This window comes from Homo sapiens, chromosome 15 (genome assembly GCF_000001405.40).
Source record: "Homo sapiens chromosome 15, GRCh38.p14 Primary Assembly".
Lineage (NCBI taxonomy): Eukaryota > Metazoa > Chordata > Mammalia > Primates > Hominidae > Homo > Homo sapiens.
Window position 1 is genome coordinate 82,662,258 of NC_000015.10, and position 13,963 is coordinate 82,676,220.

At 49.6% G+C, this 13,963-nt stretch overlaps 1 protein-coding gene and 1 long non-coding RNA gene across 4 annotated transcripts in view, besides 2 other annotated features; one reads left to right on the forward strand and one right to left on the reverse strand.

The window, feature by feature from the left end:
• CPEB1-AS1 (CPEB1 antisense RNA 1) overlaps nt 1–13,963 on the forward strand; it is a 45,051-nt gene that overhangs the window by 14,488 nt on the left and 16,600 nt on the right. The gene's annotated exons all lie outside the window — the stretch shown is intronic.
• Nucleotides 1–13,963, reverse strand: part of AP3B2 (adaptor related protein complex 3 subunit beta 2) — a 50,595-nt gene that overhangs the window by 2,977 nt on the left and 33,655 nt on the right. For 2 of the 3 annotated variants that reach the window (NM_001278511.2, NM_004644.5), the window contains 8 exons: nt 4,490–4,676; nt 3,200–3,318; nt 2,578–2,686; nt 2,110–2,233; nt 1,544–1,718; nt 1,303–1,363; nt 870–976; nt 437–665 (listed from right to left, as the gene is read on the reverse strand). In NM_001278511.2, the coding sequence (NP_001265440.1) occupies nt 437–665; nt 870–976; nt 1,303–1,363; nt 1,544–1,718; nt 2,110–2,233; nt 2,578–2,686; nt 3,200–3,318; nt 4,490–4,676 (1,111 nt within the window). Of the gene's footprint in view, nt 1–436; nt 666–869; nt 977–1,302; nt 1,364–1,543; nt 1,719–2,109; nt 2,234–2,577; nt 2,687–2,989; nt 3,047–3,199; nt 3,319–4,489; nt 4,677–13,963 lie in introns of all 3 variants that reach the window. The other variant, NM_001278512.2, reaches the window with a different exon arrangement.
• Nucleotides 920–1,214: a silencer, noted in NCBI's record as "tiled region #5793; HepG2 Repressive non-DNase unmatched - State 10:DNaseD, and K562 Repressive DNase matched - State 20:ReprD". NCBI's record gives its function as "represses a minimal TATA promoter and a strong SV40 promoter by Sharpr-MPRA in HepG2 and K562 cells {active_cell/tissue: HepG2 | K562}" and the evidence as "EXISTENCE:reporter gene assay evidence [ECO:0000049][PMID:27701403]".
• Nucleotides 957–1,157: a silencer, noted in NCBI's record as "peak2403 fragment used in MPRA reporter construct". NCBI's record gives its function as "represses an SCP1 promoter by STARR-seq MPRAs in K562 erythroleukemia cells {active_cell/tissue: K562}" and the evidence as "EXISTENCE:reporter gene assay evidence [ECO:0000049][PMID:32103011]".

Genomic DNA, 13,963 nt, shown 5'->3' on the forward strand with positions numbered 1-13,963 from the left:
GTGGTATAAGGCAGTGAAGGGGAGAGGGAGGGCCACCATCACCTGATAGGTCTAGAACCCAGCCTAGCCCTACTCTCCTCTCCACTGTCACAGCTGACCAGCCCTCTACAGAATCTTGGCTTTCTTGGCTGCTGGAGACTGTTCCCGGTTTCCTCCTGAACTCTAAGCACCCTTTCCCCCACTCACCCTCACCACATTTAAGTTAGTCCTGAAACAACCAAGGCCCAAATCTGCTGCTGCAAGCACCTCCCGCCCTGATGTGAACTTGCTTATTTCATCATCTGTCTTGTCCACCAGAGTGTTGATCATGTTAGATGCTATCTCTGTGCCCCTATAGCTTGGCCCCTGGCCTGGCACAAGGAGGGTATCAGCAACCACAGAAAGACTGACTCTGCCCAGGAGCCTCCTCCTCCACCCCATCCAAAGCCCTTCGCACCAATTTCGGGAAATTCTTGGATGCTGATGCCAGCAGGCAGTTTGGGAGTGCCCACATGCAGGCCCTTGATGGGGGTATCAGAGCTGTTGGAGAAGTGGATGTGCACGGACACCATGTGGGGATCCCCGGAGAAAGGTTGGCGGCTGAAGGTGTAGTCCACAGCCAGCCCCTCGCCAGCTACCCGGTGCAGCAGCTCCTGCCGCCCAACACCCGATACTGGACTCAGAAGCTAGAGTGGAGGGGTAGGGAAGGACAGAACTGAGCAAGATGGAGAGAGCCTGTCCCAGCATTGTCCCCTAGGGCCATCCAGCAGCTGGGACTCAAAGCTATCACATCCTCCATCACACCCACCCCCCACACACATCCACACCATAGGATGCAGCACAGGGATGTGTCCCTGCCCCAGCCCGGTCCCCTCCTCCATCCCACTCACCGACGGTACCAGGGTGGAGTCTGTGAGTGTCAGGCCCTCCAGGTCAGCAGCCAGACTGGTAGACACAATTGCTGGGGGAGACACAGGCTGGACACTGGGAGGGGTGACTGTGGGAGTAGATAAGACTATGAGGAGGCAAAGTGGAGGTGGCTTGGGTTGAGCAGGGAGCCTAGGGATCAAGGAGCACGCATTTCAGCACCATGGACAGCGGGGCACATGGCTGCCTGGAGGCTCTCGCAAAATACCCATTCCTAGACCTCAACCCCAGACCTGGGGAGGTCAGCCCTGCTGCCCTCTCAGGCCTGAAGATATGTTCTGTCTGCTCCCCTGCTCCCACAAGACCTGAGGAACCCGATCCAGAGTCCCTATGGGCTGTTCTAATTCATGCTCCCCAGGCCTCCTTTCCCCTGTGACTTTTACCACCCAAACTCACAATCCTCTAGATCAAGCAGGGAGATCTCCTTGGTTGCAGGAGCACTTTTGCTGCTGGGAGGCTGAAAGAGAAAAATGGGATGTGGGTGTGGGGAAGGGGAGCACCTTGGCATGTTCTGGGTTGGGTAGAAGATGTCATGTTCTGTTCTGGATGGTAGGGAGATAGATGTCTGGGCCTGGCCCAGAGGTTGGGGAGGGCCCTGGCCCATGAGCACACCCTGACTCTGCCCCAAGGCTCTCACTGTTTTCCTGCTCCAGGAGGCAGGTTCTAACTGCTCCTCCTCGGACTCCGATGTCATCTCGGACTCTGATGAGCTACTGCTGGAATCGCTGCCCTCATCAGAGGATGACGCTTCTCCTTTTCTCTCTGGCACCTTCTTCTTTGTCTTCCTCTTACCATCCTCCTCACTCTGTTCACTGAAGGAGTGGGAAAGGTTGGCTCAGGCCTGGCCTGGACACTCCCTCCTTGCTTCACAGAAGCAGGAGAAATGCTGAAAAGCTGGAGTGGTGTGGGGAGCCTGAGCCAGGAGGGTTCACACCTGAGGTCCTATAGCAGGGACCCCGTGAGAGCTTGAAGCCAGCTTGTGCCAGCTCAGGCTCTAGGACTCTGGTTGCTTCTCCACACCAGCCCATGAGGCCTCAGAGATCTCCTGCAGCCAGCGAAAGTAGGCGTCATGTGAGCTGACAGCCCCACCCAGCTCACGAGGGGCTCAGGGGCTCTTAGGAGACTGGCTAAAGCTCAATGCTAGCCCTCTTTCCAGGAAAGCCCCCTGAACCCCACCAGCCATCTGGCTAGCTCCCTTCTCACCTCTCACTGCCTCTCCCTTTCTCCTCATCCTCATCCTGGTCTTCATTGTCGGACTCACTGCTGGACTCCCCAGAGCCGCTCTCACTGCTGCTCTTACTGTCCGATTCACTCTCAGACTCAGGGTCTGTGGAGGAACAATATGAGGCCTCCTCCCTCATATGCAGGCCTCCTTGGGTCTGGAGCAGACACCTGGGTTCCACCTTCACATTCAGTACTGAACCCTCAAACCTCTCTGACCTGCCCCCAGCCCTACATGCCAGCTGGAACTGACAGAAACACAGATGGACTCCATGGATAGAAACCTGCACAAGCACACACACCTGGAACATGAATCCCTCAGGTGCACAAACAATTCACAAGCAGGTGCACACCCCTAGACACACAACCATATACATATACCCCTCATATAGTCAGTCACACAGATGCATGGGCAGAGCACAGAGGACCCCAGCTCTGCCATCTGCTCACCACTGTCTGCGGACTCCGTGGGGCCTGACTCCCCCTCAGAGTCCGAGTAGAAGGGTTTTTCCTTCTCCTTTCTCTTCTCCCGATTTGAGCACTTGGTCCATTCAGGTACCTGGAGATGGGGGTAGGGTGCAGGGTCATTTCATCATGGTTGGGGAGAAGGCAGGCAGGCACAAGCCCTTACCCTTTATTCCACCTCTTTGTGAGGCCCTACCTGGTCTGTCCCACAAAGGGAATAACAGAGGAGGAAGAAAGGGGCACTGTCCATGGAGGGGAGGGAATGCTGCTCACAGAGGAGCACTGCCAAACCAAGGTGGAAACAGAGTATGGGAAGGCCCAGGAGCACAACACACAGGGGAAGAAGAGGGACACAGACAGGGCAGGGGAGAGAGCACACGTCACACGAAGGTGGGACCTCAGTGTATTCGCCCAACAGGCCCACGTGAGTCTCAATAAGGGAGAGATCTTCTTCCTGTGTGTGTGGGGGAGGGTGTTAGGAGGGCTGGGCCGGCACTGCCAGGGCTCCCTACTGTCTGCCCCCACCAACACACACACACACACACACACACACACACACACACACACACACACACACACACACACTTCAACCCTCCACCCCGCTGACCTCCACGTTGCGCACAGATGGGTCTGGGGCTTCCTCCGGCCAGTCTGGGAGCTCCTGGTAGCCTGTGGCCTTGGCATTAAGCAGGTGGGACAGTGAGCCCAGCTGGAAGTGGTCCCGGTCTAGGGATAGGTTTAGAGGTCAGGCAGGTAGCAGCAGTGAGGGAAAGCTCTGGGAGCTGTTTTCCAGGTGGGGCTGGGTGGTGATTCTGGTTGGGACTTCCCAGGTGGGTAGGGGAAGGAGATGGATGTGTGCCCTAATGGCTCTTCCACCCTGACTGCACCTTTAGGCCCACATGCTGGAAGAAAAGGCTGTCTGGCCAGGCCAGAGCAGGGACTGAGGGCCAGGGAAAGGCAGCCTACAGAGGTGGGCAGGAGGAGACTCTGGGCCCACAGATGCTGCCGACCTGTCTGCTCAGCATGCACGTCTAGTCAGGCTCTGGACTCAGCAGGGAGGGATGAACAGTCAGAGCATGAGTGTGTAGAAGTCTGGATCAGAGTTGAGGCACTGCTGGAGGAGGGCAGCACAGGCCTGTGAGTGAGGATGGTGTCGGGGAGAAAGGGACTGTTGCCTTCTTCCTGGGAGAATTTCAAAGCTGTGCCCACCCTCAGAATCTCCCCATTCGTGAGGTCCAGGGAAGAGAAAAAGAACGAAAAGATACCCAGAAGAACTGAGCTTTGTGAAGGAGGCTCTCTTCTGTGTAGGTTCCTGGCTTCCACTCCTGGGGCCCGGAGAAGCAGCGGGAGGACCCTTCCCTCCCAGGCCCATCTCAAGGCCGTTGTCTTGGGAAAAGAGGCCTTAAGGGCCAAGCCCAGGAACAGAGGCAAGGCTGAAGCCCTGGGGCCTGGGATTTGGACTGACTGTAGTGACTAAGCTCACAGAATGCAGGCAACTGCTTTCTCAGGACCTTTATAAAAATATACACCTCTCCTTTGTGTGTTGTTTTGCTTTCTGCCTTCCTGGGTCCTTGGTATTTAAGATCTTGGTATGTATTCCAAAGCCTAGTGTCTGCTCAGGGAGGGAGATGGAAAAGGGAGCCTGAGAGGAGAGGAGGCACAAGTCCATCCTGGCCAGGAAGGCAGACCCTCAGGTGAGATGATGCTGGCAGTGGTTATGGGAGGGTGAAAGAGTAATTCCTGGTGCCACAGGAGGGACAAAAGGAGTGAGCCAGGGAGCAGGACTGTCCACAGAAGCCTGGTGCCTGGCTAGGGGCCTCAGGAAGGTCTGGGGCAGAGACTCTGGCCAGTTCCTTTCCATTCCCCTAGGAAGGTTACCCTTGATTTCAGCTCCCACCTTTGAAGGATGACTCCAAGACTGGAGCTGGTTTGGGTGCCAGGAAGAGCTTCTTGGCATGGCGGCTGAGGGCCCCACCCTGCTCGGAAGGGACGATGAGCTGCCGGGTGAAGCGCGCCCGGTCGCGAATATCATAGTTCTGGTCATATTTGGCCAGACTCAGCACATACTGGGTCAGCAGCTTGGTCTGGAGGAACAGGAAGAGGTGGGTCAGCTGACGGGGGGATGGGGACACAGGAGGCTCAGAAACAGATTCTTTAAGCCGACACTTTCAGGCAGAACGTCTCCTCTCCCTGCTTAGGACCGGCGCTTCCACCCAGCTGTCCCTCCCCACCTGCCCTTGTTCTGGGCTCAGAATTTTCTCTCATCTCTCTGGACATGCCTCCTGATGATCCCAACTTTGACAACTGCCTTGGGCCAACAAAAGAGGTTTTCCTTTTGGACTTTCCCCACTCCTGGCTCTGGACTCCATTCTTCCCTAGATTTGTGGTCCCTACCACTCCAGGCCTGTCCAGCCTCTTTACTCTAGGGCAGCAGGGTATGTGGAAGTATGGAATGCTCTGCTGGACCTCACAGTTTCCAGGCTCCACCACCCAGGGGGAATTAGACAACAAAAAGACAGGGCAGATAAACAGGGGTCCCTTTGGCAGGGGCCACCCTCATGCCCTATCCACCCATTTAGTAGATTCTGAGCAGCCCAGGGGTCTCAGAGGTCTTTATCCTTCCCTGGAAGCTTCTAATGACATCAGGGCAAACTGCAGCTGCCCATGCATTTGCCAAGGTCATGTAGGGTTCACAGTCTGCAGTCAGGGAAGCTACAACTGCAGACCTAAAATATCTCCATTTCTGCCATGATCTTGGCCTAATCTAACCTGCCTTAACATGGCAACAGCGGTAGCAGCCATCACTTATCAAGTGCCTTCTGGCACCAACTCTGTGCTAGGTGCTCCACACTAGCTCATCTAATCTCCCCAAGCCTTCTGAGAAGTAGGCATTATTGCCCCCATTTTACAGAAAAGAAGCAGGATCATTAAGGGGCTTTTCCCAGGCCAAGGAGCCCATCAGTACTGCACCTAGGCCTGCATCTGCTGGAGCTGCACCCCATCTGCTTCCCTTCACTGCCTACCTGCTGACATAAGGAGCCTGCCCTGGCCCAGGTCTCCATGTTTCCATCACTTGTGACCAAGATCAAAACCACCAAGTGGTCAACAAGCAGAATGCCCAAGGGCATCAGGGGCCGGCAGGAGGGAGCCTGGAACTGACTCTGTTCTTCCTGAGGTTTATGGTGACATACTGTTACGTGTAGCCTTGGACATGGTTAACCCAGCTAATCTGGCAGGGACATCAAGCAGATGTCCATAAGGGGCAAAGCCCCTCAGATGCTGACCCAGAGTCTGAGCAGCTGCTTTGGCAGAATTGCCCCACACCACTCTAGAGAGCCACTATGATTCCACATTCCTACCTCCAATCTGGCCCACAGGCCCTCTTCAGCTCAGTCCCTTCCAGCAAAGCAGCACCTGCGATACTGTTATAGTCACAGATAAGCAATCCCAATCCCATGCACCGCTAATAGAATAGACTTAAAAATATGAAAATAAGATGCCATCACAACAGATTTCATCACCAACCTGCCCCTCTCTTGGCCAGACACCATCTAAATGGCCAGGGCTAGTGGATGCCCTTACCAACATAGTCAATTATCAAGAGGCTGCTGATCCCTCTTTTGGTTTGGACAATGTCTTCCTCCACAGATTTCCCAGCTGGCTGATCACAGACTCCCTCCTTCAAGTCCTTGCCTAGTTCTAGAAAGAACTGTTTGGTATTTGGATCCATCTGTCCACAGCCTTAACTGCATGTTAACAACCAACACAGGAAGGGGCTGGCCCACCACCTCAACACTGCAGGATTTGCCTATAATAATTCATTACCCTTCTCCACCCCAAGGGGCCATTCCCTGTGGATTGTGGCATCCTGTGTGCACCACCAAGACCCCCACCTCATCTAGCCAGGATGTGCAGGAATTACAGGCTGTTCAAGAAGGCCTCTGAGATACACTCCAGTGTGCCAAGAACAGAACAAGGCTCCCCCTCACCAACAGGCTCCAGTTGTCAGAGAGGAATTTTAAGCAGGAAACACTGACTTCCTTTCCATAACCTATGCCAACATACATGCTACCTTGCAGATGCCTGCTAATCATGCTTAGAAAACTGGCTGTTAAAAAAAATTGAAATATATCCTCAATTCACACATTACACATGAGTAAGTTTAAGCTCTAGATGGATGTGGCAGACAGATTCTAAGGTCTTCCCCACCAGTAGCTGCCTCCTGGTGTTCATGCCTTTGTGCAATCCCTCACCTTGGGTATGGGCAAAACCTGAGACTTGCTTCTAACCAACAGGATATGGCAAAGGTGGTATATGACTATATATGATCCTATGATTATGTTTTATTAAGAAGACTCTGTATTGGAAGTTCTATCTAGAGCAATCAGACAGGAGAAAGAAATAAAGGGTATCCAAATTGGAAAAGAATTCAAATTATCCTTGTTTGCAGATGATATGATCTTATATTTAAAAAATCTTAAGGATTCCACCAAAAAACTATTAGAACTAATAAATTCAGTAAAGTCGCAGGATACAAAATCCACATAAAAATCAGTAGCATTGGCCAGGTGCGGTGGCTGATGCCTGTAATCCCAGCACTTTGGGAGGCCGAGGCAGGCAGATCGTGAGATCAAGAGATTGAGACCATCGTGGCCAACATGATGAAATCCTGTCTCTACTAAAAATACAAAAATTAGCTGGATGTGGTGATGCACACCTGTAGTCCGAGCTACTCAGGAGGCTGAGGCAGGAGAACCGCTTGAACCCGGGAGGTGAAGGTTGCAGTGAGCCAAGATGGCGCCACTGCACTCCAGCCTGGTGACAGAGCAAGACTCCGTTTCAAAAAAAAAAAAAATCAGTAGCATTGTCCAGGCACAGTGGCTCACACCTGTAATCCTAGCAAGCACTTTGGGAGGCCGAGGCAGGCAGAATACCTGAGGTCAGGAGTTCGAGACCAGTCTGACCAACATGGAGAAACCCTGTCTCTACTAAAAATACAAAATTAGCTGGGCATGGTGGTGCATGCCTGTAATCCCAGCTACTCGGGAGGCTGAGGCAGGAGAATTGCTTGAACCCGGGAGGCAGAGGTTGTGGTGAGTGGAGATCGCGTCACTGCAGTCCAGAGCCTGGGCAACAGAGTGAGAACTCCATCTCAAAAAAAAAAAAAAAAAAAAACCCATTGCACTCCAGCCTGGGCAACAAGAGCAAAACTCCGTCTCCAAAAAAAAAAAAAAAAAAAAAAATCAGTGGCTTTTTTTTTTTTGGCGGGGGGGGACGAAGATGAAGTCTCGCTCTTGTCCCCTAGGCTGGAGTGCAGTGGCGCGATCTTGGCTCACTGCAACCTCCGCCTCCCGGGTTCAAGCAATTCTCCTGCCTCAGCCTCCCAAGTAGCTGGGATTACAGGCACCCGCCACCACGCTCAGCTAATTTTTGTATTTTTAGTAGAGACAGGGTTTCGCCATGCTGGCCAGGCTGCTCTTGAACTCCTGACTTCAGGTGATCCACCAGCCTCGGCCTCCCAAGATGCTGGGATTACAGGCATGAGCCACCACGCCTGGCCGTGAATTCATTTTTGACAAAGGTATCAAGAACATACATTAGGGAAAGGAGAGTCTCTTCAATAAATGGCGCTGGGAAAACGGGATATCCACATGCAGAACAATAAAACCAGACCCCTATCTCTCACCATATGCAAAAATCAAATCATAGTGGATTAAAAACTTAAATCTAACACTTCAAACTATGAAACTAATAAAAGAAAACATTAGAGAAATTCTCCAGGACATTGTACTGGGCAAAGATTTCTTGAGTGATACCCCACAAGCACGGGCAACCAAAGCAAAAGTAGACAAATGGGATCACATCAAGTTACAAAGGTTCTGCACAGCAAAGGAATCAACAAAGAGACAAGCCACAGAATAGGAGGAAAAAATTTGCAAACTACCCATCTGACAAGGGATTAATAACCAGAATACGTAAGGAGATCAAATAACTCAATAGGAAAAAAAAATTCAATAATCCAATTTAAAAATGGGCAAAAGAGCTGAATAGACATTTCTCAAAAGAAGACATACAGATAGCAAACACGTATATGAAAAGGTGATCAACATCATTGAGCATCAGAGAAATGCAAATCAAAACTACAATGAAAGGCCAGGCACGGGTGGCTCATGCCTGTAATCCCAGTACTTTGGGAGGCTGAGGCAGGCGGATCACCTGAGATCAGGAGTTGAGACCAGCCTGACCAACACAGCGAAACCCCATCTTTACTAAAAGTACAGAAATTAACGGGGCGTGGTGACGCACGCCTGTAGTCCCAGCTACTCAGGAGGCTGAGGCAGGAGAATCACTTGAACCACAGAGGCAGAGGTTGCAGTGAGCCAAGATCGCACCACTGCACACTCCAGCCTGGGTGACAGAGCAAGACTCCGTCTCAAAAAACAAAACAAAACAAAAAAAGATATATCATCTCACCCCAAGTAGGCTTATATCCAAAAGATAGGCAATAACAAATGCTGACAAGAACATGGAGAAAAGGCAACCCTTGTACACTGTTAGTGGAAATGTCTGGAGAACAGTTTGGAGGTTCCTTAAAAAACTAAACATAGGCCGGGCACGGTGGCTCACACCTGTAATCCCAGCACTTTGGGAGGCCGAGGTGGGTGGATCGCGAGGTCAAGAGATCAAGACCATCCTGGCCAACATGGTGAAACCCTGTCTCTACTAAAAATACAAAAAATTAGCTAGGCGTGGTGGCAGGCACCTGTAATCTCAGCTACTTGGGAGGCTGAGGCAGAAGAAGAATCACTTGCACCCAGGAGGCAGAGGTTGCAGTGAGGCAAGATCACGCCATTGCACTCCAGCCTGGGAAAAAAGAGTGAAACACCATCTCAAAAAAAAACACTACAAATAGGCCAGGTGCAGTGGCTCACGCCTGTAATCCCAGCACTTTGGGAGGCCGAGTCGGGCAGATCACTTGCGGCCAGGAGTTCAAGACCAGCCTGGCCAACATGGTGAAACCCCATCTCTACTAAAAATATGAAAATTAGCCAGACTTGGTGGCGGGCGCCTGTAATCCCAGCTACTCAGGAGGCTGAGGCAGGAGAATCGTTTGAACCTGGGAGGCGGAGGTTGCAGTGAGCTGAGATCATGCCATTGCACTCCAGCCTGGGTGACAGTGCAAGACTCCATCTCAAACAAACAAACAAAAACTAAAAATAGTGCTACCATATGATCCAGCAATCCCAATGCTATGTATATACCCAAAAGTAAGGAAATCAACATATTGAAGTTATATCTGCACACCTACGTTTATTGCAGCACTGTTCACCATAGCCAAGATTTGAAAGCAACTTAAGTGTCTATCAACAGACAAATAGATAAAGAAAATACGGTACATATGCACAATGCAGTACTATAAAAAAAGAATAAAAAAGAATGAGATCCTGTCATTTGCAACAACATGGATAGAACTAGAGGTCATTATTTTAAGTGAAATAAGCCAAGCACAGAAAAACAAACTTCACATGTTCTCACTTATTTGTGAGGGCTAAAAATTAAAAGAATTGAGCTCATGGAGTTGGAGAGTAGAATAATGGTTACCAGAGGCTGAGAAGGGTAGTGGGTGGGGGAAGTGGGGATAGTTAATGGGTACAAAATTATAGTTAGATAGAATGTGTAAGATCTAGTATTTGACAGCACAACAGGGTGACTACAGTCAACAATAATTTATTATACATTTATAAATAACTAAGAGAGTGTAATTTGATTGTTTGTAACACAAAAGATAAATGCTTGAGAGGATGGATACCCCATTCCCTGATGTGATTGTTATGCATTATATGCCTGTATCAAAATATCTCACATACCCCATAAATATATACACCTACTATGTACCCATAAAAATTAAAAAATAAAAAGAAGACGGTCTTGCTAGCAGACTGGCTCTAGAGACTTTCTCCCTTGTGGCTTTGGAGAAATTAAGCATCCGTGTTGGGAGGCCCCTATGGCAATGAGCTAAGGACGGCCTCTAGAAGGCAAGGGCAGCCCCCAGCTGACAGCCAGCAAGAAGCCAGGGCCACAATCCTACAACTGCAAGGAAGTGGATCGTGGCACCATGTGACTTGGAAGTGGACCTTTCCCCAGTACAGCCTCCAGATAAAAACTCAGCCTTGGCTGACACCTCAGTTGTAGCCTTGCATAAGATCCAACTAAGCCATACCTGAATTCTCGACCCATAGACACTGAGAAAATAAACGTGTGTTGTTTGAAGCCACCAAATTTATAGTAATTTATTATGTAGCAGAAAACTAATACAATTGATTTAAAAATGTGAAAGTAGAAAAAAATTTGGAGGAAATTCTTTTTAATTTTTATTTATTTTTGAGATGGATCTTGCTCTGTGGCCCAGGCTGGAGTGTGGTGGTACCATCTCAGCTCACTGTAACCTCCACCTCCTGGGTTCAAGCAATTCTCCTGCCACAGCCTCCCAAGTAGCTGAGATTTCAGCGCACCACCACACCCAGCTAATTTTTTTGTACTTTTAGTAGAGACAGGGTTTTGCCATGTTGGTCAGGCTGGTCTTGAATTCATGACCTCAAATGACCCACCCACCTTGGGCTCCCAAAGTGCTGGGATTACAGGTGTGAGCCACTGAACCCAGCCTGGAGAAAATTCTAAGTGAAAAGTTTAATTGAAATGTGAATGGGGAAAAAAAAGTATTAAATATGAAAGCATTGAAAAGAAGCAGAAAAGTTTAAAATATTGGACAATAGACAAAAGTACAACTTCTGAATGACTATATATAGGAATAAAAAATAAGGAAATATATAATTAATGGTGGTCTTCTAAATGGTGGACTTATTAATAGTTTAAACTTATAATTTTCTGAGTTTTCCAAATGTTCTATGATAAGCATGTATTACCTTTAGCATATTAAAAAAAGTTTACGTTTTTAAAAGCAATTCTGCAAAATTTGTCAGAATCTTCTATTCACTGTAAAGGCGGTCACATGGGAGGGTTGTAGATCCCACTGTGCCCCTGGCAGACCCTCCTGCCACACATCTCACCTGACACATAAAAGCAAACTAACCTGCTAGGCAGTTTCCCCAGGGTCTATATCCAGGTGGATGTAATAGCCACTTTGATTACCAACCCCCCCATCCCCCGCCACCTGCATGTTATGCCTTTGTGGCCTCTGGTCTAGTATCTGATTATCTGCTGATCAATAGCAGGGCAGAGGCCTCATCTTGGTCATTTCCTTGGCCTCATCCTGGGCCAGGATCTGGCATGCCGTGGGCCCATGTCCAAATTGGAGAGAATGACTGAGATTACTGTGGCCTTTTAGCTGGGCAGATTGCCACTCATGGTCCCAGGATGGGAAGCATCACTACTGTTTTGCAAGCATGGTCATGTGCGCATCCAAACCACCTCCCTCCTAGTACCCCAAGGACTCCCCCTTCTTTACCACTCCCAGAAGAGGCTGGGAAGAAAGGAGAAAGAAAGGGAGGACAAAAATCTTTATTGAATCAAATAACCATTCTAAGGGGCCTGCAAAAACTCACTTGCAGGTGAAGGGCGCCCTGGAGGTGAGTGTCCATTTGCCTGAACAGCCTACTCTGGGTTCCCTGACAGGGGTCATTCCTAGGGGAGGGTTCAGCTGTATATACCCACAGCTCGCTGTGCCAACCCTGATGACAGCTGTTACTGCTGTGTTTAAAATGTTTATTTTTGTCCTGTTTCTCCTACTTGGCTGTGAGTATCTGGAGACCTGTAAATGTGTCTCACTCATTGTCATATCCTCAGGACGCAGCACAGTACCAGGCAAATAGTAGGCCTACATGTTAAATAAATGAACAAATGCACATGTAGCTCACAGTAACAACTTGGGGGAAATGACATGTGGACAGGCCCAGGCTTATGAAAACATGCCAACCTCACCATCCTGGGGTTTAGGACTCTGGCTCAGTGCTGAGCATGTCAGACTCCCACCTACATATATGTTAAATAAATGAACAAATGCACATGTAGCTCACAGTGACAACTTGGGGGAAATGACATGTGGACAGGCCCAGGCTTATGAAAACATGCCAACCTCACCATCCTGGGGTTTAGGACTCTGGCTCATTGCTGAGCATGTCAAGACTCCCACCTACCTGGGTGGCTCCCCACCCAGGCTGCTTCATCTTTTCAAACATTCCTCCCACTTGCTCCTTCCTCCCACCTGAACAAAGGAAGTATACAAATATTTTTTCAACGATTGAACGCTTCCCCATGGTGCTCTTTCTCCCTCTAACTTCTCTCTCTCCCCCTCTAACTTCTCTCTCTCCAATCTGCTTTGCCCACAACACTGATAACAAGCTCAGGGTCACATGGTCCAGTGTCTCTCCTCCTTCCACCTGAAGACCTAAGGTTTGGAAGTTACTTTTGATAAGGCTAGCATATTTAATTATACAGACTCAGTTGCCTCCACATGTTGCTGCTGTCCTTTGACTCCTGATTACAGTCACAGCACTTGGTGGCCCTGCCTACCTCACCTTGAGCCTCTGGGGCTCACTCTGGCCACAATGGATCAAAGAAGCCACTGAAAAAGATAAGTGCCACCATCCAAAGACTCCCACGCACAGTGGACATGGCAGGGATGCTACAGTCTCCAGGGGATATCCCTGCTATAAATCTGTAGACCCCAGCCACCTAGCCAGAGGTTTTGCTTCAAGGATTGGCAGAGTCTTTTTATAAAAGGGCCAGAGAATAACTATTCTAGGCTTTGTGGGCAATACAGTCTGTTGCAACTAGTTAACCCTGCTGTTGTAGCACAAAAGCAGCCATAGGTAATTTGTAAATGAATGAGCAGGGCTGTGTTCCAACAAAACTTTATTACAAAAACAGGAATAGGCCAAATTCAGCCTATGGGCAGTAGTTTGCCAATCCCTGTCCTGCTTAACTGAGTGGGAGAGTGTGGAAATCGTCATGGTGTTTGATGTCCCTGACACCTTGAAAAGCTCAGCACATTATGCTTCATTTTAGGAGAATCTCCTGGAACCATCTCAGGAGATGCCAGACAGCTAGGAGGCTCTGAACACCCTGATACTACAACTTAGTTGAGCCTCATCCTTGGCTGTGTATCTCTTATAACCTTTCACCTTGGGAATGACAGTGGCCACCAGCACCACCCAAGCCCAAGCAGAGACTCACCCCCTTATCTTTGGCACAGACTGGCCAAGCATTGTCAAGCTTTGGAAAGAAGCACAGACCACATCTGGGATGCATGTTCTCCCATCAGTACCTGCCACTGTTGGGCCCTTCCCTTATCCCAATCAACTGTGGTTCTTCACAGCCCCAGAGTTCCAAGGTGGCAGACAGGACTCTTGTA